General features: G+C 41.3%; 2 long non-coding RNA genes across 2 annotated transcripts in view; one reads left to right on the top strand and one right to left on the bottom strand.

The window, feature by feature from the left end:
- Nucleotides 1–3,484, bottom strand: part of LINC02295 (long intergenic non-protein coding RNA 2295) — a 30,747-nt gene extending 27,263 nt beyond the window's left edge. The window contains exons 1-2 of the long non-coding RNA NR_184268.1: nt 3,274–3,484; nt 161–478 (exon numbers count right to left, since the gene is read on the bottom strand). This is a non-coding gene — a long non-coding RNA (long intergenic non-protein coding RNA 2295). The remainder of the gene's footprint in view (nt 1–160; nt 479–3,273) is intronic.
- Nucleotides 1–22,374, top strand: part of LOC105370655 (uncharacterized) — a 102,277-nt gene that overhangs the window by 26,694 nt on the left and 53,209 nt on the right. The gene's annotated exons all lie outside the window — the stretch shown is intronic.

Below are 22,374 nucleotides of genomic sequence, written 5' to 3'. Positions count from 1 at the left end.
CAAAAAGAATAAAGAAAACCATTTGGAATTAAACAAAAATTCCATATTTTAAAAAAGAACAAATCAAACCCAAGAATATGATGACTCTGTTATACACAGGAATGTCTTCTGCAGATCAGGGTGCATCTTGTAAAGAGTGGATGAATGAATTAATTAATACCTGATTGGTTTGCAGTTTATAGCTGGAAGAGTTCTGAGATGGTATCAAGCCCAACCTCCTCATTTTAGAGTTGGGGGAATTGAAATGTAGGAAGAATTTTGATGGTCAGATTCACATGGTAGTAAGTAACTGCATGAGCACAGGTCCGATGGCACTGGACACTTGTCTCAGTAGGCCTGGCGAGACCATCAGGATCCCAAGGGTCTCCCATTCCCCACGTTGTCTACACAACCTAGGCAGGGAATTTGTTCAGTGCTCCCAGCACCCAGCTGACAACAGCCACAGCTTTCAATGAATCACTTTGAAAAGATATAAAACCTAAAAGGAGAGGGAGGAGCATTTGATTAGATGTTATCCAGACAGAATTGGGAGACCAATTCAAAACCAGTGTTCTGTACTAATGGATCTTTCCAACTCTGCGTTCCAACGGGAGCCAAGAGGGGATGGGCCTCCCAGAGCGGGGAAGTCTTGGCCCTGTTAAAGGGCCAGCCGAAATGGGGTTCCGCTGGCTTGCTCTTCTACTGCCCCCTACTGGGGAGATTTTTACCAAGGAACGAAGTGGGCTACTGCTAAGTTGTTTTTCACAGTGGGGGCAACTAAAGTCAACCAGGGATTGTAACTCAGGAGTAGAAGGCAGAGATCATTTTCAAACACATAAGGCAATGTGAAAATGTACATGAGCCTCCTAAAGGTTAAAGATGAATCCTGATAACGACTCACATTACCTCCTAGGCGAATTTGTCTGAAAAAACACCAGCACGTCTTTCTGCTATTTCTGTATGTATGCACGTATGCAGATACGTGCAGAATATTATATATTTTTAAGATAGGTATAAACAGATAGTAACACAATGAAGGAACATCTGAGCTAGTCATCAGCTCTAACTGCAGCCTTTTAAAAGAAAATGTAACTCCAGATGTCGTCTTAAGAAAATGAATCAATTAGGCAAATGAGGAATTTCCTCATAAATCAGAGGATGAGAAGCCAAAGTCCAGTCCTTGCCCAGGGGAGGAAACAGAGATGAGGGCTGCCCGGAGGTTGCCATTTTTCATGGCCAGGTAACCCAGCCGCCTCCTGCTCTCCTGAAGTCGTGTTTACCTTATTGAATGCTGGTTTGATTTGGAAAGAGTGTTCTGAATGTTCCAAACCTTTTACCCTGAAGATAATAATGCCTCAGCCTTCAGGAGTGGGACCCAGTATAAGCTGGTGTCACTATTCATGAAATAATTGAGTTTACACAAAAAGTGATTTCAGTAATAGCTGCCTTTTTATAAGTATGTACATTTTATTTAAAATTACTGACTCAAAAGGCAAGGTAGAAAAAAAAATCACCTCCAACAACTTCCTGTAATTGCGAATTATTGTGAGGGAAACAGAAGGAAAAGATTTCGAAATTATGAGCCATTATGCTCGAGAGAGAGGAGAGAGAGAGAGAGAGAGAGAGAGGGAGAGAGAGGGAGAGAGAGAGAGGCAGTGGGGAAAAAAAAAAGACAGCCTGGCTTCATGAAACACAGCTGACAAGCTCGACTAAATTACCCCCGGACCATTACAAAAATCACTTAATTGCCAAGCATTTTGTTAGGTCAATTGACTCTAATTGAAAAAATAACAAAAAGCTTATTATGCTGCAAATGCGGCCGTGGAAAATGAGTCTTCTGTTAGAAGGAAACAATAATTCTAAATTTCAGCTGCTGCTAACACTACAAAGTTCAGTGTTTCCTTCGGATAGAATCCGCAGTGGAGGAGAAAGTGAATATGCATCAATTGATTTTTTTTCCTTTTAGCGCTTCCCCCCAACACTTCTTGCTCTTCCTGATCTTCTCCTTCCCTGCCTCATCCTACCCCCACCCTCATCCTACCCCCACCCTCATCCCCGCCTTGTCCCCACATGATTAGCAGGGGCCCCCTCCACCCCCTTCCATCAGCAAATATACACCTCACTCCCATCTCCCTCCTTATCTTCCTGCAAGAAAGGGTTGGGAGACAAAGAGGGGGCCAGCAGTGTGGGGCCCTGGGTTAGGAGAGATGTCCAGTATCTGCCCTCCCCAGCCCCAGCAGGATGCTGCAGCCTCGGTAAAATGCCTCCCCCACCATTTTCTTTCCATGAGCTGCTCTTTCTCTCTCCCCTCCTGGCTGTCGCCTTATCTCCTCCTCTCCCCTTTTAAATGCAGATAATAGAATAAGGCAAACAGCTTATGTCCGCAAAATTCCTCTGAAATTGCCCCCTAACATGCATACCCAGAGCTGGCCTTGATTGACATCAAGTGCAGTAATTAAAAACCCTGCCAGCTGACATAGGTGAAGGTTTATTTATAATTACACATTTTTAGGATGGCTCGTCCAGGGTCGGTGCATTTAAAAAGATAAGTCGGCCACAGCTCTGTTACTCCCCCAATTATAGATTTGAATGGTGGGAGTTTATAATGGGGGCGGGGAATTCTGCTTTGCAAAAAAAGGAATTATTTGTTCATAAAACCAGGAGGCCAGGGTACGAAAGTCTGATGGCAGAGCCTTTGTCTAGAAAGCTGTGGGAGAGAGAGTGTGTGTCTGTGTGTGTACCTGTGTATGCCTGTGTGTGCATGGGTGTGTGCACCTGCATGTGTACCTGGGAGTGTGTGTGTCTATCTATGGGTGTGTGTGGGCCTGTATGTGTACATGTGTGGGTCTGTGTGTATGGATGCATGCACCTGTGTGTATACATGTGTGTGCCTGCATGCACATGTGGGTGTATGGAAGGGGAGTCATGCGGTGAAGCAGAAAACACCTCCCTCTCCCTGTGCTTAAACACAGAGCTATACTCACAAATCATTTCCCTGCTTGCTTTATCTAAAATGTTAAAAATCTTGCCCAGCTTCAAATCCAAGACTATCAGATCTGACATTCCTAAGAACCCACTGTGAAAGAGGATTCCTCCGTGGGAGCCCAGGGAGCTGGGACAGGAGCTTCTGGGAGGACTGTGTGGGCATAGAGTTCCTAGGAGGCGGAAGCTGCCTGCACACAGCAGGGTGTTTGACACCCATGGGGCAGTGCCCAAAAGCAGCAGCCAGCAGGTCCCCTCTCCCCAACATCCGCTTCTCATTGTTGCCTTTTTTTAGAGCTTGGTATCACTTACCCAGAGGGGCAGAGCCGGCCATATCAGACTGTGCATCTCACGTGTGTGGTTTCTTGGGCCCCACAGCTGGAGACAATGGCAGGAGCGGCCTTGGAGAGCCCCGATTGTCACCTGGCGTCTTGGCAGGCAGCTGAACCCAGAAGTAAACTGAGCCAGGCAGGGAGCTACAGGTGTTAAAGGTACCAGAAAGCAAGGCTCGAAAATCAGATATGAGAGAAAAGGGGAGCAACAGGAAGCCTTTGTATAGGGGGTGCCACTGCATTTCAGACATGCCTGGCCAGGGGGCACAGGGCACAGGGCTTGTCCAAGAAGACAGGATGCAAAACCCACTGCTGACCAGGGAGCCAAGAGCTGTGAAAGGGTCTAGGTGGGTCACCCAGAACAGTCCCTCTGCCCCAGAACGCTGCACAGAGAGATTGCCTGGAAGGAAGCAGGTCCTTCCGATTAAGTGGCAGAACCCTACTGAGAGAAATAAAAGTGAGGAATGGTGAATTCGGCACCACTTGCCAGACCAATGGGCTTCATCAATTAATCACAGCCAAATAATCACCACCTACATTAAAGAATAATACATGAAAAGGACAGGAGCCTCACTGTAACTTATTCAGAAAGGGCTGCCTCCCTAATCCCTCTGAGTCCTGACATGTTAACAGGGTAGCGACTAATTAGATGTCAAAAATTCATAAGCGCTCTTTAATATTGCATATATCTGCAGCCGACATTTCAATATGAGAGTTGTATACACAGAAGTCACTATAGCATTAAAACACAGTGGGGTGGAAGAAATAAAAGGGAACCAATAAAAACAATGTCCCTTAAAAACCCCAGAGAGTGCCAGCTTTGGAAGTGTGTACTTTCTTATTCAGAAAAGGTATCACCTTAATAAGAATTATAGGCAAAGGGGTTTCGCTGCTCTGTGCTGCATGGACAGAAAGGGGGTGAGGAGACGAGCTTATCAAAAGCACTGCCAGGTAAATAGTAATTTATTGTGCATGCACAATGAACATTACCCAGTGTCCTGACACTGGGTGATAATGAAAGGCATGTTATTGTGGAATCCACTGAGGGAATTTCCACTCCCCCCGCTCCCTTCTCCCCTTCTCCTCTTGTCTCTCTTGAGCAAAGAAGCCGTGATGGGTCCTGGCAGCTTCTGCCTGTTTCAAGCCATTTCACATAATATAGAAAGCACCTGAAGTTTAGTGGATTAAGTAAGTGAGTTAGTTTGCCAGCTTGGTGATATATATGTTGCTTGCATGTGAACTTATATTTCAAATGCTGGGGACTATATTTTTATGAAACAAGCCTTTTCCTGTCGGAAGAATTATAGGAATGTGATATAATACAAGGCAGTGAGATTAAAAACAATGCATCATAGCAGAGAGAAAATGCACTGTTTTATGACTTGCATCCGTTAATTGAACCTCTCAGGAATCAAGAGAAGGGCTCTGCAGGAACCTGCTGGAAAATCACTCTCTTTTTTTACTTCCATGTTCTGTTTTTTTGTTGTTGTAGTTGTTATTTTTATTTTTTATCATACATATAGATACATATATACATGCATATATATATACACACACATATTTATGGACACACACAGCCATGAATGACGTATGTTGCTTTCTGTACAATACTGTACTTTTATTTTCTTTTAATGCTGCTCACATTTGACTTAGAGTGAGGAAGTTGTGTTGAAGAGCATTAAAGAAGCTATCTGAATTCAAATCATTAGGTGGACAATTGTTAGTAGCTGTGCACAAATCCCATTAGCCTTCTGGGCCTCAGTTTTCTCTTCTGCAAGACAGGTGTGGTGATGTTGTCCTTCCAGGTTGGTTAAAGCAAAGTACAGTAAAGACAACAGGAAAGCCAAGACTCCTGTGAGATTCCAAGTGCTATATAGACTTTCTGTCCTGATTATCTTGAGTTGAGACCATGGTTGGGCTGCTTTTTGCCACATATACTGTGATATTGACACAGATTTATATTTTATTGTCAGGTGAATTTTGTTTTTTACTTGAATTTCCCCATCATTGCAACAACACAGCAAGCTACGCAAAAGTGATTAATGATCAGTTTCATGGTTTGAAGGAAATCCCTTTCAAAGACAGTCCGGTGCCCCATCTCTGATTACATCCATGCAGACTCAATATTTGGGTGCAGTGCTGGACCCATGCCTCTCCCTGGAATGTCAACACCAAGGGGAGGTTTCCCAAGAAAGGATGAGACCTGACTTAGTCATCTGGCACAATGCCAGGGTCAATGGTCAATCTTTATCTGATTATACAGGGTCTTTGATTTGAAATTCACTATGTTAATTCAGGCTGAAAGAGTCCTTTATGATCAATATTTAAATCGTAATTAACTGCATTCACTTGCTATTTTTGTACGTCTGATTCTTCTTACGATGTTAAATCAGGTTCTTCCCTGGTTTCAGCATTTCATATTTCAAAACAATATTCTCTATCAAATTTGACCAGTATCTAGGAAAACAAGATCTCTCCTGGCTTTCCTGGAGTGCTGATAATGAGACCTTTCTTTCTTTCAGTTGGTTAAGATTAAAGTCTAAGTCACTTCATTCATTCATTTCATTATTCACCCACCTCATTCATTCACTCATCCATCCATTCCTGCATTCACCTTTCAAATAGTTTTGAGCACAGCTCCTAGCACCTGAAGCTATGTGTTTTCTCTTGGCAATACTGTGAAAAAAATTTATAGTCCAGTGGGTTTGGGCAACAAGTAAACAAGTGACTCAGACACTGATAGAAGTGCCAGGAGAGCAGCAGGTGCTTGTTAGGGGAGTGTCGGAGGAGGCAAAACAGGGCCACTTAATCTGGTCTAGGAAGGGAGTGGTCAGGAGAGCTCCCCAGAAATGTCAACCAGTCACTGGGGATAGAAGGACTAGTCTGAGATGAGAAATGACAGTAGGGGAATTGGCAGAGGTGAGAGGAACAGCACATGTAAGGGCTTAACTCAGGAGGTCAGTGGAGTGAATTTGTATGGTACTTGTTCTCTTTCTTCCATCCAATCATCTTCAGGAAACAGTACTTAGCATTGTTAAGGGGGAACCACTCCCTCTTGTTCTCAGATGTAATTAATAGCAAAATTAACCCCTGGGTCTAGTTTCAGGAGTGGACTCTCATTGGCTTTACCGATTATTGTACCCATCCCTTTGGCCACTGTGATTGGTTCAAGGATGAGTACACAACCCAATCAGAGACAAGGAAATATGAAGTATTTATTGGAGATTCTGAGAAAGGGAAGCCTTATTTTTCTTCATAGGATCTCTCGGCACTCTTTCTTTTTCTCTGGATAGTAGTTTGTAAGGGTGTAAAGTCTGCAACAGCTACAGCCATTTTTTTTTTAATCAATGAGGAAGAATCCAGAACATCCAGAATATTGCATAGAGGGTGAAGCCAGCATCGTGAAAGGCAGTACAGAAAGGTAGGGAGAAAATGGATGCCTATCATTCACGTGGCTAGGTCTGTGGTTGGCAAGCTCAAGAGCCAGGAGACCCAGTGATTTAGTTCCAGTCCAAGTCTGAGCATCGAGAGAGTCTATAGTATAAGTTTCTGTCTGAAGGCCAGCAGACTCTCAGCCCAGAAAGAGATTTGACACAGGAAAAAAAAAACCCTATGTTCCAGCTCAAGGCAGTCAGGTAGCAGACGTTCCCCATAACGTAGGACAAGGTCAGCCTTTTTATTCTATTCAGGCCTTCAACTGATTGGTTAAGGCCCACTCAAATTCAGAAGGGCAGTATGCTTTATCCAAAGCCCACCAATTTAAATGTTAATCTCATTCCAAAACAGCCTCATAAAAACACTCAGAATAATGTGCGATCAAATATCTAATTAGTCTGCAATCCAGTCAAGCTGACGCATAAAATTAACCACAACAGGCAGGAACTAGGACTTTGTGTGAGTATCCATAATGTATAATGTAGTGCCTGGTACACGGTAGGTGCTCAATAAATACTTCTGAATAAAGTTCATAAATAGCCAGGCTGGCTGGTAATTTTTAGCAAAGAAGACACAGCATTTGGATATGGTATTTATCTTTAAGAGCATAAAGTTCAATTTGATAACCCCTGGCTCATGCACTACTTACTCCTGACCTCTCCACTGGTGAACTTGAGCCGAAGGTTGTGTTCAGCTTCTCATCATTTCTGATTTGGAAGGAGCTTTTCCAAGAGTTCAGAGGCTCCTTTCAAAACTGAGCCTGAGCCTCCTAGCAACCACAGTCACAGGACCTGAGCAGCCAAACCCATTCTGCCTTCAGGGTTGCCCCTCTCTCCCCATGCACACACATTACAGCAGCCCCTTCCAGCCACACAGCCACTGAGCATTTCTGTAGCCTCAGTGTGCAGCTGTGCAAATAAGCACCCTTGGCTCTGAGGTATGCCATTCCCCAGGAACATGACATTGAGCACCAAATCCCAGGACTTATCCTCTGTTTTCAGCCCTCTTTCCAGAAAAGCTACATGATGTGAGTCCTGAGCTCTATCTGATTGGACTCCTTCCATATCTGAACTCTTTCACTCTGGCCTCTAGTTCCAAGTCCTGCTTCCTGTGGTTTGAGTGTTGCTTGTGTGGTCAACACGCTCATGCCTGACAGTGACTCTGGAAATGACAACTATATTGAAAAGAGGAGGCTTACTTTGTGTGTATATGTAGGGGAGGAACCAGATCTGGCAAGCAGGAAAGATGATTTTGACTCAAAGTGAAGATGAAGCTATGTCCAGGGATAGTTCAGAATATGGGATCATGGGCAAGTTATATATTCAAGATCCTGAGTTTGACTTGGTCAGGCCTTGAGTCTGCTCTCCACCATGTCTTGGACAGGTAGGGATAAAAATGATCAGAGAATGAGAACAGGATGAAGGAAGCAATGATGGACAAGGAGAGAGAGTTTTGGAAGCTTGGGCTTGTGCAACAGAAAAGACTTTTTGATTGAAGGTGGGGCATGGGCAGGTTTGCTCTGCACACGTGTAAGTGATGGGAGCCCCTTTATAACTTGGCTGTGTGGTCATCGGGAGGTGACTCTTCCTTATTTATTCTTATCGTCCAGAAGAGAGTGAAATCCTCCAAGTCCCCCCACCCCACCTTTTTTTTTTTTCACTTTTCTAGGCCAGTTTGGGAGAGGAGGTTCTGCTTAGATATCTACAGTGGCCCAGGTCAAAGAAAGTCAGTCATTGCAAACCTTCACTAGGTCTTTGCATATCAGAGATGCCAATCATTTCTATCCACGGTGAGCTTTAGCACAGTCAGGAATCAGGATGATTAACAACAGGACTGGCTCTGTTCTGTGGAATGATGTAAGTGGTGGATGGTGCCAAGTCCATGATACACAGAAGCAGATTACATTACAGTTAGAGCCAATATTTTCTCAACATGAACTTAAACTGCTCTACTTCTGAGAATGATTATACATCCCTGAGATGCCACATCTGTGTAGATTTGTATGTTCATGTGTGTATGTTCACATGCTTTTATTGAGCATCGACTGTAGGGTAGGCAATGTTCTGGATAAAGGTGATATGGCACATCGTCTTTACTGGGTTGAAGTTTGCCATCTGGTGAAAAAGAGATGCATTAGATAAATGATTATGAATGCACTCAACAGTCAGGATAGTAGGAAATTGTCAGATGCAGAATTGAGCTCTGAGGATCTATTGTTTCCTCTGGGCACTCATTTGAGAATCGGGACCAAGTCCCACTTGCTATGTAAAATGGGGGCAAGTGTGTGTCTCAGGGGTTCAGGAAGAGCAATCAGTTTAGTGGTCACTTTGTGACTTTGTATAGATCTGCTTTATTCAGACTGATCACCCATTTTCCAATTGCTGCAAGTCTTGGCTGTTGTAGGCTCAAAGCTGCACCATTCTGTAGAGAATCACCCTCTGCTGTTAGAACTCCTCACCCTAGAAATTGCATTTTCCACCCACCCACCACAACACAGGTGGCCTGCAGCTAATAGCTAACTGATGCATGGGAACAATCGTCTGGAGTCAAGTCACCAAGGGGACCAACATTGTGGTGCCATTTATACCCCAGAGCTTCTGTGGGATCAGGCATGAGTGAGTCTGCATCTGAGACTTCATCCTTGCTCAGCATCTTCACCTGCCCATTCCCTGATTTCCTCCCTCTTTTTAAAGTTTCTTTCACAGTAAATCACTTGCACAAAGATCTCCATCTCAGGCTCTGCTTCTTGGGACCACAAGCTCAGTGATGTGCAGTAGGGCAGGGTGACCTCACAAGGGATTAGCGATAACATCTTCTGCTCAGTGCTTACTTAGTTGCTAGGGCCTAAACCTATTCCTTATACATCCCAGACAATGGTCAGGGGCAAATGAATAATTGATGGTCCATATTAAATAATCCAGAAGAAGCTTCTAGTTTATCCCCTGCTGAATTCTTAAAACTCTATGGCTTTGAGCTCCGAGGGAAAGACAAGCAGATCTCAGCAGAAGCAGCTGGTTGGAAGCTGACAAAAGGAAACTAATTTGGGGTTCAGCTAGGGTTAACTCACTGGAGAGACCATTGGACTTTAAGTCTTAAAGATAAAGGAGGAAATGGTCATTGGCCATGGTGATGAGGGCTACCAGAAGTCACAACTCCAAGTAGAAGCTATAAACATTCAATGGGTGACAATGGTTCTACTTTGGAGACACAACAGATGATAATTATACTCATTAGAGTAACAATTTATTACAAGCTTATAAAGTGTCATTCTATATAGAATGCATATTATATCCCTAACATCCCCCTCAAAATGCTACTGTGGCAAATGTTATTACTCTGATTTTCCAGGTGGAAAACTGCATTTCAAGGTGAGTTATCTATGTGTTGGAGATGAGCTTTAAAGCTTGGTCTAGCAGATCCCAAATCCAGCATATTTATTTGACTCCAAGTCAAAGGCCAACATTTTGACAGCAGATTGTTTCTTTTGTTTGTTTGGTTTTCACTAAGACACTTAATATGTATGTGACAAAGAATTACCCTTGGTGAGTGTTGCTCAGTTGTACCTGGGCAGTGCCCAAGCCAGCATTAACCAACTCCTAAAGGCAAGTATGATAACTGCTGGGCCTGAAGACTGTACCACCTGCTCACAGCATCTCAACAAAACCACCCAGGTACAGGAACGTGAATTTAAGCGGCTTTTGTGCTTTGAATTTCCCTGATCATTCCTTCACTTTATATTTCACTTTGTATATCAGACATTCCTTGTGAAATGACGTTGAAATAATAAAGTCTAGAGAAATGGCACCCAAATTGATGGTTAAAAATTATGGCAGAGTTTGGAAATAAATTCTTACAATTTACATGAGAAATTCGGTGTTTTGTGGGGCAGGGTTAAGGGGGGACTAGACTGGCAGTCTAGTCTTGAGATACATGGGCACAGTTGTAATAAATATAGAAACATTTGCTCTCAGAGGTGTCTGTTGTGTCAAATAGACTGATGGGCAGTGGGGAAGTGAGGTGGAGGAAAAGGGAAAGAATTTCCACAGGGAGGAAGAAACGGATGTTGTGACTTCTTCAGTCATTGATACAGTCATTCTTAACATGTAAGGAACAGAGTGTCTCTTTTGCAGATAACTGTCCTTATGCTTTACGATTTCAAGACACAGTGTCTAATTGGCCTAGCGATTATAAAGTCCTGCTCACCAGGTGACCCAGTTGACTTAGACTCATCTCAATGGGGATGATGATGATGATGACAGAAATAGCAATAACAACAAAGCAGCCACAGTAATCATCATTCCCAGTTACTGAGTGTTTGCTTTTCCACATGAGACATTAAACAGAAATGTCTGTAGACTCTGTTGCAACTAGAAATTCTCTTTGGTTTGGAAGACTCAAGAAAGAAAATATGGTAACATTTTTGAGGATTTGCTCTGTGCAAGATGCTTGACACTTTATATAGGGTATGTTATCGAATACTAATAGCAGTCCCTACAAGAAACAGGACATAACCCTCATGAGGAAAAAGAGGCTCAGAGGAGTTAACTGGTCACCCAAATTGCACTGCAAATTAACAGCAGGGTGTAGATTCAGGACAGGATGCATTACTACTTTCACAGGGATGGAATGGCCAATTCCTGATGGGCAGGAGCCACTTAGTAGAAATGGAGTAGAACAGACTCCTAGCTGTGTTTTCAAGATGTTGCCTGGGTCAGACTTCCTCTCTCTTCTCTTCATCCCTCCCCATGGCTGTAACGAAGATTCAGTTTTCCCCCAAGACAACTGAATTTTTATTTATAAAGCAAACTCTTAGATAGATCATTGCAAGTAAACAACTGATAAACATTGCCCAGAGTCATTGATCCCCAATGAGCACCCCAGTGATTCCTTCTAACCCAGGAAGCCAGCTCTTCTTTATATATCTAAAGGAAATTATTCAGAGGAGAAATAAACTTGAAGAAAACAGATACTTTAGAGTGCTTTCATTTATAATACATCCAAATTGAGAAAAGCTCCTATATCTAACATGAAAATATCAAAAAAGAATCACCCCCTCTACCTTAAACCAAAATGCAACTTGCTGTGAAACAGAAGAATAATTCCCACTGGGATTTTATTTGGAGATAGCATGAGGAAACAAAACTAGTGCTAAGATATGAAATGAGAGCAAAACTATGATGACTTTTTAAAAGGAAGATGCAAAATTTAGATTATTGCAAAATCATCATGATTGCATTTGTTATGAGGGTCTACCTCAAAAACAGGAGAACAGAAAATCCAGTGGTTTATAAACAAAAAAATTTTTGGAATAATCACAGTTAAGTAATGAGACTGTTTCAAAAAAATCTAAAATTTAATGGTTTTCCATATATTAGCAGCAATCATTTAGAAAATATGGAAATCTTAATTCATTCTCTCTAGAAGCCAGAAAATATAATTTTATCTAGAAGCACTATGGATACAGTACACATATAGGAAACATTGTATAAACTTATTAATGAAAAATATAAGCATGGACTTGATTCAGGTCCCTCATGAATAGTATCCTGTGCAGTTCCAGGGTGTTTGCACTTACCATTTCCTCTTCCCCAAATGCTTTTCCTCCTGGTTTCATAATTGGTTGAGAGTTATCAAACCGTCCAATCATCTCAAAGAGGATTCCCTTACTTCCGTTCCATAGCTGCCCACTGTGATACTGTAATTGTAATTATATATATATATATGTATTTTGTCATCATTTTCCCCCTTTTTCCTGGCACATAGCTCCCCAAAAACCTTGGAATCTTTTAGTATCACTTAAGAGTGTCTAATTTGTATGCTAAGGAGATGACTGGTGGCTGGTGGCTCCCAGCATCAAGATGGGGCCTTGTCTGAGGTACCAGCCCTAGAACTGGGGGATCGAAATTTTCAGCCTCATCTTTGAATTCTGGGGAGGTGAGAAAAACTGAAGGTTGGGTTGATCACCTGTGGTCAATGATGTCGTCGATCATACCTATGTAATGAAGATTTCATAAACCCCCAAAAGGACAGGATTCTGAGAACTTCCAAATTGCTGAACACTTGGAGGTACCTCTAGGGTAGCTTGCCTGGAGAGGGCATGGAAGCTCCTTGCTCTCTCTCCTCTATCTCATTCTATGCACCTTTTCTTCTGGCTGTTCATCTGTATCTCTTGGAAAATCCTTTACAATAAGCCAGTAAACATAAGCACATGTTCCCCTGCATTCTGTGAGCCACTCTAGCAAATTAATCACACCTGAGCACAGGGCTGGAGAACACTTGATTTGTAAGCAAGTTTGGCTGAAGTTGTGGGTAACCTACTACCTTTAACGGGCATCTAAAGTAGGGAGCAGTCTTGTAGATCTGAAAATTTAACCCATGGGATCTGATGCTATCTCCAAATAGATAGTGTCAGAATTAAGTTAAGTCATAGGACACCCAGTTGGTGTCTGCTGGAGAACTGATGTGTGGGAAAAAACCTACAGATGTTGTGTCAGAAGTATTGACTTTATAAGAAGAGGAACAGGTGTGCCTTTTCCCATCTCTCACGCCCACTGTCAGCCGAGTCACTTTCACTCAGTTTACCCTATTCTTCCCAGCACTTAGCATTATTTGAAATAATTTTATTCACTTGTTTACTTATTTATCATCCATCTTCTTAACATAAACCAGAGCTCTATGGAGCACACTTCTTTATGTTCAACTCTGTCTGGTGAAGGGTTGACACTCAACACACGTGTGTTTAATCAAATTTGAAAGTAAAAGTATGGTCTATGTAGAAAGACCACACTCTGTAAAGGTGTAATTTTTCCCCAATATAATACATTGGTTTCACTAGCTCAAAATCCAATTTCAAATAAGATAGCCTCCAGACTGGGGAATGGGAGCTTGAAAAATGATGCCAGGGATCATTTGGGAGAATAAATATATAAATAATAGGCAATGCAGACAGTTATTCTTGAGAGAAGACAAAATTGAGGGCACCTAGCCTAGCTATGTCACAAAACATTTTATATTTCTATAATAATGCAGCAACAGAGCACAGGCCTGAGTACAGAGTTCATTGGCAGGTCATGATGTATAGAACAAAAAGGAAATATAGTAACATGTGATAAAGAAGTTATCGAATACTTATCAAAGATGAACTATAGTAACACGTGATAGAAAAGTAATGAGGAAGCAGGCAAAATTTTGGACTTGTCCCCAGGATCTGTGCTCCCTGGTACACACACTGCATAACCACCACCACCCCCCCCAACTCCTTTGAGTGCCACCAGGACTGGTGAATATGACGAGTTGCATCCCACTTGTTAGGTTACCATATATGACAAAGGTGAATAAGTTTTGCAAATGTAATTAAGGTTCCTAATCAGTTGACTGAGTTAACAAGAAAGGAGATCATTCTGATAGTCTTGACCTAATCAGAAGGGATCTAAAAGTGATTTAGTCCTTTCTCAAGATTCAAAATGTGAGGCTGGGCTCGATGGTTCACACCTGTAATTCTAGCATTTTGGGAGGAACAGGCAAGTGGATAACGTGAGGTCAGGAGTTTGAGACCAGACTGGCCAACATGGTGAAACCTCATCTCTACTAAAAATACAAAACTCAGCCAGGCATGGTGGTGCAGGCTTGTAATCCAAGCTACTCAAGAGGCTGAGGCAGGAGAATCACGTGAACCTGGGAGGCAGAGGATGCAGTGAGCCGAGATTGCACCACTGCACTCCAGCCTAGGTGACAGAGTGAAGATCTGTCTCAAGGAAAAAAATAAATAAATTGAGAGGGGTTATGGATGGGGTCACATGACAAGAACCTGAGTTCAGACTCTAGGGTGTAAGGGTGATCCTCAGCCCCTCAGCCCTGAGCAAGGAAATGGGGACCTGAGTCTTACAAAGGCAAGAAAATTAATTCTTCCACAACCTGAGAGAGATGGAGGCAAATCTTTCTCTAGTGGAGTTTCTAGATAAGGGCACATGCAATGACACCTTGATTCCAGACTTGTGAGGCCCTGAGCAGGGGCCAGAGACACACTGTGCCTAGAATTCTGACCTACAGAATAGTGAGCTAATAGTGGCTGCTGTAGTAAGTCATTATGTTTGTAGATCTTGCAATGCAGAAATAGAAGACTAGTGCAGCAGCAAAGGGAAGAACAGTTCAAAACATATCACTGGGCTCGCTTATTAACCTCTTGAGAAACATTAGTATAGGCTTCCATAAAATACGCTGTAGTGGTAAATTCCAGAGAGATTAAATAACTAGGTAGAAAAAGTGAAACTATGTTGTCTTAGTTTGTTTGAGGTGTTCTAACAAAGTACCATCGACTGGGCAGCTTATAAACAACAGAAATTTATCTCTCATAGTGGTGGAGGCTGGAAGTCTGAGATCAGGGTGCTAGCCTGGCTGGGTTCTGGTCAGGGTTCTCTTCCTGGCTTGCAGACTACAGACTTTTCATTGTGCTCTCACGTGGGAGAAAGAGAGAGGGCTAGCTCTCTTCCCGTTCTTACAAGGGCACTAATCCCATTCATGAGGGCTCTGCATTCATGACCTAATTACCTGCCAAAGGCCCCACTTCCTGATGCCATGCTACTGGGGATTAGAATTTCAACATATGAATTTTGGGGGGCACAAACATTTAGTCCATAACACATATAGTGTCCAGGTGAATACTTATATGATCTCAGGATAGAGGCATAATTTTGAAGCATGAAAATGACAGAAAAAATATCTCATACAATTCAAGAGATTTGAATGTAAAAAACAAACAAAAAAAAACCTTTTAAATGAAAATAAAAACAACACAAATCTGGGAAAATATTTGCTTCAGAGATAACAGGTAAGGATTTAGTACTTTTCTTATATAAAGAACACAGAAAAGTACATTGAATATGTATACATTTCAATGTGTATATGTGTGTATTTATGCAAATGTAAAATGAAAACATTAACAGCAAAATGTTCACATACCATCTCTGAATAATAAAATTATGAAGGACTTTTAAATTTATTCTGGAGATTATATTTCTACTCTGTTCATTTTCTAAAATGATTATTAATGTGATGAACATACAAAAATAAAAATATATAATAACATTTCAATATATTGCTACAAAGAAATAGAATGTAATTTAACAGACTTTTTAATTTTTATAAATATTTGAGTGTTAATGATAAGGGGAAATATTAGAACATACATGCATGTGTATGCTGGAATTACCACTGTGTAGAAACCTCGCAAGTGTATAGATGGGTAAAGATTGGAAGACACTATGTTGTCATTAAAATAGGTTCTATCTTACAATAGTTAGAAAGGGAAGACTAAATCCCCTTTATAATGTTTTATATTTGAATTACATATGTCTCTATATCTACTATATTTGAATATTGATAGATGATTTATAATAGATTGGATAGATAGATATAGATACAGATTGATTATCACTAATGGGAAAACCCAAAATTCTAAATGCTCCAAAATCCTACACTTTTTGAGTGTTGGCCACCATGATTGAATTAGTGGAAAATTTCACACTGACCTCATGTGACTGACCCCTTCAGCTGTAGCATGTCTTTTCCATGTATACCCAATTTCCCCCTTGCAAACACGCACACAAATAGTAATAAAACGGCATGTGTACAGGCTGGATGTGCCAAGGGCAGGTTCCCCGCCATGCCCCACATGGGGCCCAGACCTATGTGCATTACTCACTGTTTTTGTTTTCTTATTCTGTCCTCTATGGTGCAAAGACATTGTTGAAAATGTCAAAAAGTCCTGCATGATATCCATAGGGTAATGTAAATATTCCAAAATTGTTAGAATTCCCAAATCTGGAACACTTCTCATCCCAAGCATTTCAGATAAGGTAAAGTCAACCGATATAGTTATAGATATAGATGATACAGTTATAGATTACAGATAGATAGAGATGGAGAGAATACCTTGTCATTAGTTTCCTGTATTAGTTTCCTGTGGCTGCTGTGACAAAATGCCACAGAGTAGGTGACTAATACCACAGAAAGTTATTTTCTCACAGTTCTGGAGGCCGGAAGTCCAAGATCAAGGTGCCGGTAGGGCTGGTACCTTCTGCAGCCCCTCTCCTGGCCTCAGATAGCTGTCTTCTCCCTGTGTCTTCAGATCGTCTTCCTCTGTGTGTTTCTGTGTCCTTTTTAATAAGAAAATCAGTGATACTGCATTAAGGCCCACCCCAATGACTTCATTTTAACTTAATAACCCCCTTAAAGACCCTATCTCCAAATATGGTCACAGTCTGAGGTACTGGGACTTAGTACTTCAACACAGGCTTTTTTTGGGGATGGGGGCATATACAATTCAGACCATAATATCAGCAAAAATTCTCTCCTTATAAGGGGAGAACAGCTCTCAACTTAAAATGCTGTGTTAATATCTTTCTTACGCATGGCCTTAGAAAAGTTACTTAATAAAATGGGAATAACATTATCCTGTTATCCTTAATTTGGCTCTTTCAGTCTTGATTTTGTCAAAGGTGTAAATATTGTGGCCCCATGTATTATAAAGATTATCATTAGGATGATACATGCGGAAGATCAAGCACAGTGCCTGGTGCTCAGGAAGCATTGAGGGGCATGCATTGAGGATCTCCCCCACTCACCCTATGGCTTAGTCAGTGTTTCCCAGGTTGCTTTTTTTACACATGTTCTCTAAGAGCAGGGAGAGATAACTTGAGGCAAAACCTAAAGAGGCATTCAGCAATATTGTTTTTATATTTACTTAAAAACAAGAAAACACATTGGCCGTTTCTATAACAGACCCATATTGATGACAATAAAAGTTTCAACTCATTGTGATGTCAAATTTTCTGGGAAAACAGTCCACATTAACTTTGTGGCTTTATAAGCATAGAGCTTTATACCCTGTGTTTCTGTAAACACGCACTTTGGATGCAGACATACGCCACCAGAGAAATAAGACCCTACACTTCTCTCCAGTTCTAGAATTTCTCATAGCCTGTCCTCAAAAAGGGAGCAAGATAGAAAAATCAAACAGTAGGCTCATATTGCAAAATCACTGGGAAGACAGGAAAAAAAACCCAGAAAAACATGAAAAAATGGGCAGGCAACAATGCCAGAGGACAAATAACAGATGGACAAGCAGAATTTGAAAGCAAACGCCAAAGACTAGAAGAGGCAGTAGCTAAGTTGGACAACATTGTTAGAAAAGATTGCAAAATCATCAGATTCAGACAATGTGAACTCTTATAGGGCTCCTACCTGTAGAGCTGAAATACAGGGCATCACAACTTCCTTACGGAAATGTGTGCCCCTGCTCACTCTATCTATTGTCTTGTAATAAAACTCGGAAGGCTGGAATTCCTGCAGTATTGGAAACAGGAACCAATTTTGAAGATTAATTTGCAGTGGGGTTTTCCAGTGAGGAACCATAAGCATTTGTTTCATCCACATGCTCATGACAACCCTAACCCAGTGCATTCATAACCTCTATGGACCACTGATGGCCATCATAGGGACATAACAGAATCCGTGCCACCAACACAGTTTTCCTATCAAATGAGACTATGCTAAACACCCACACCAGAAGTTCTTTGTTATTTTGCAATGTGGCTCATCAATATTTGTTCATATAAACAAAAAATTAGCTGTACTTAAAGTCTCTAGTAATGAATAAGTCTACCTCACTGCTGACAGATGAGCCAAGGGGATGCATCACCTCCCATGTTATTGAAGTGAAACCAGCTAGAGAAGAGCTGATGACTCACAGTTAGCTCTCAGCGAAAGTACATTGAATGGATGAATGCAGGCATACACCTTGTGCGCTGAATGTTTACCTGCACGAAGGGTGGTCTTGAGCTCCTTCCAGAATAGAGGTTAGATGGGAATCTCCCATAAAGAAAATCAATAGAAATAGATGCCATAAGTGTTGGTTAGATCAGGGATTGTCAAACTCTGCTCACTGGCCAAATTTGGCCATGACCTGTTTTTATATGTCCCTCCAACTAAGAATTGCTTTTACATGTTTAAAGATCTATCAAAAGAGAAGGAGACAGAAAAAAATGACAAGAAGAATATGTAAGAGGTACCAAATAAAGCTTGCAAATCCTAAAATAGGTATTACCTAGCACCTTGTTAAAAAAAAAATTACTTCCACTGCTCCTCCCCAAGAATTGGCTGATTCTTTGTAGAGTGGAGATTATGCATTACTTTCGAGTTTTGTCTTGTCTGCCCTGAAGGTGATGGCTTCCTGGAACACTGTGTGGAGAGGAGTTTTAAAAGCATGAGATAGTCTGTAATCCCAGCACTTTGGGAGGCCGAGGTGGGCAGATTATGAAGTCAGGAGATCGAGACCATCCTGGCCAGCATGGTGAAAACCTGACTCTACTAAAATACAAAAAAATTAGCTGGGTGTGGTGGCACGTGCCTGTAGTCCCAGCTACTTGGGAGGCTCAGGCAGGGGAATCACTTGAACCCAGGAGGTGGAGGTTGCAGTGAGCTGAGATCGTGCCACTGCACTCCAGCCTGGCAACAGAGCAAGACTGTCTTAAAAAAAAAAAAAAAGGCATGAGATAATCATAGAAAGTATTTATTAATGCATTTTATGTGCCTGTAACAAATAAGAGCTTTACATGTATTAACTAACTGAATCCTTACAACAACCCTTTATATGAGTACTCTCTACTCCTCTTTTTAAGAGGAGACAAATGAGCAACAGAGAAACTAAATGACTTGTCCGAACACACAGCTAGGAAGTGGTAGGAACCAGGATTTGAATTGGGGCTATCTATAGTTGTGGATAGTTAGATACAGATGAGTCAGGGTAGGTTAATATATGCTGCAATAACAAATCACTACACATTTTGTGTGGCTTTCAGTAGAGAAGGCTCATTTCTTGATCATGCTGTGGCTCCATAGTGAGTCGGCTGTTGCCTCACGGTGGGCTGGCTGTGGCCCTACTTCACATGTGGGTCTCTGGGACCCACGCAGAGGGTGCAGCCTGTCTCTAGAACATTGCAAGCCATGCTCCAAAAGGAAAAGAGAAGGAACTCTATGTTGACTCTTAAAGCCTCTGACTAGATGTGACATATGCCCCTCTGATCAGGTGTCATCAGACGGAGCAGGTCAAGTGGCCACGCCTGATGTCAGTGGGGCTAGAAAGCATAATCCTCCTTTGGGAGGGACAGTGAATACCTGAGTCAGCAGGACTGTCTGCCATGGAACATGACAGAGGATTTCAACCAGTGTCCCCATGACACAGGATGTTGGTTAGGAGTCCTGGAAACTGGCTGATTCTCCCTACTGTTTTTCCCTGACTCTCCAGAAATGAGAGCATGCCAGTCAGTAGTAGCATCTCATTCATCAGTCAGGGTCCCAAGTACCACCTGCCACTTCTCTCTCTTTCCATGTGTGTCTATAGTGCTTAAAATAAATAAATAAATGCATTTAAGTTAATTTCTTTAAATAAATATTACATATAACACATATTATTATATTTTAATATATATAACCTATATTAGACTTATATAGTATATAGTATATTGATATATTTGTATATATAATATATATATAACATGTATGTATGCATGTATTTAGTTTAAGAAATTTGCTTACTCAGTTCTGGTAGCTGGCAAGTCTGTAATCCATAGGGCAAGCCAGTAGGCTGGAGATCCATAAGAGGTAGTGTATCAGTCTTGAGTCCAAAGGCTGGAAACTCAGGCAGAATTTCTATGTTGCAGTCTGGAGCCATAATTCCCTCTTTGGGAAACCTTGGTTTTTCCATTTAAAGCCTTCAACTGATTGGATGAGGCCCACCCACAGAGTGGAGGGTAAGCTGCTTTCATTAAAGTCAATGGATTATAAATGTTAATTACATCTGAAAAATGCCTTAATGGTAACATTTAGACTACTGTTTGATCAAACAACTGGGCACCAGAATCTAGCCAAGTTGCCACATATTAATAAAATCAATTGTCACATTTAAGGACCATGCTTCAATGTAAAATCCTACCAACAAAGCTATCACCCCCATGGTCTTTAGCTTTTTATACTACTAAGTTGACACTGATTGCGGTAGTAAATTCCCAAATGCCTTAAGGATTCAAGTACACTACAATTTATGTTTTGCCATTTGAGGTCCAGAATAAATGTTCCCAATTGGTGAATGGCTCTTCTCCATGTTATTCCGGGACCCAGGCACCTTTCATCTTGCACTACCCTACCTTTAACACAGGACTTTCAGACTTGTCTCTATCGGGCCAATGGAATGAGGGAAACAAGAAAAATTGTTAGTGGGAGTATTTTATAGACCAGGGAGGAATTGCTACAAGGCATTTCTGCTTAGAGCCATTGGCTAGAACTCAGTCAGAGGTCCATGCCCATCTCAAAAAAGTATAGGAACTATAGTCAAGCCTGTACCCAGAAAATATAAACAATAAAATTGATGATCTTCAAACTAACCTTTGCCTTATTTCTGCACCCCACATTCTCCACAGTGATCTTAAATTGTAACATGGTGATGAGGGAAAGAGATTGTAGCAAGTTATGAAAATTTTTGGTTTCTAAATTGTGTATTTGCAAATTGGAAAGAATGTTTCCTCTTCTCATGTGAGGAGTAAATGATCTATGGAAGTAACAGTGCCTGATGTAGTTTAGATGCCCAGCGTTTCAAATGTTTGCTTTTAAACAGTTGAAAAAGATAAAACAACTGCACCTTTCATAAGATTTGGCAATCCCATCCTTTACATTTCACTGGTTTTCGAATGGGAAGAAAAGAGTCGAATGTCTCAAGATAAAACAAATAAAATCTGTACATTTTTAAAGTCTGTTTTCAAAGTTCCTCTGAACTTCTTCATGGCTAAAGCCTGCAAAACTGGGTCATACACCTAAGAAACCAGCTCATCTTTGTTAAGATGGGTTTCATTTCTTACTGACCCTGTCAACATCTCTGAAGAGCTAATTTGCTAGTTCAGTGGCTCATCATCAGTTTCTCTTACATGAAAATGACAAAGGTCAACTGCATTAAAAACTTTTTTTTTCTTGATCCAAGGAATTTCAATATTTCTGTCCCTCTCTGATTGAATTAACAAGAAACTCATTTAATTGCTTATTATACATGGAGAACATAGGTTGTCCTTGCTGGACTGTATCCCTATCTGACTGCATTTGAATGACATTTCAGGCTCTATTTCAGTTAATTTGATAAGTATGTCCCTATGATCTGTAAATAAACCAACCTGTAGTCAAGGAATTCAGACGTGACATGTCATATACCACCTTTGTCATTCTTTAAGGACTAGTGTGGCATCCTCATACTTTCAATATAGTTGACCTGGCTTCACACTTTGATTCCAAAACTTACTGACTTTAGCATCTTGTCCAAATCACTTGAATTAGCTGAGCCTCAGTTTATCCTTCTGTAAAAAGGACCTACTAAATATCCTTACCATGAGACCCTTTTAGGATTAAATAAGTTTTTCAGCAAAGTTGTTAGGAATCACGTTAGGTGTTCCCTCATTTCTTGGCACCTTTTCTGTCTGTTTAGGTATAGCTCAGCAATTTTTTTACTATATGTCACCCCATTGAGTTAGAGCACTTTGTTTGCAAGCAGAAGAAACCAAAACAAATTGGATAAAATAAAAACTGGGCATTTAGTTGAAGCCCACAG

Source organism: Homo sapiens, chromosome 14 (genome assembly GCF_000001405.40).
Source record: "Homo sapiens chromosome 14, GRCh38.p14 Primary Assembly".
Taxonomy (NCBI): Eukaryota; Metazoa; Chordata; class Mammalia; order Primates; family Hominidae; genus Homo; species Homo sapiens.
The sequence above is the reverse complement of the archived record's forward strand: the minus strand, read 5'-3'. Positions and strand labels throughout refer to the sequence as shown.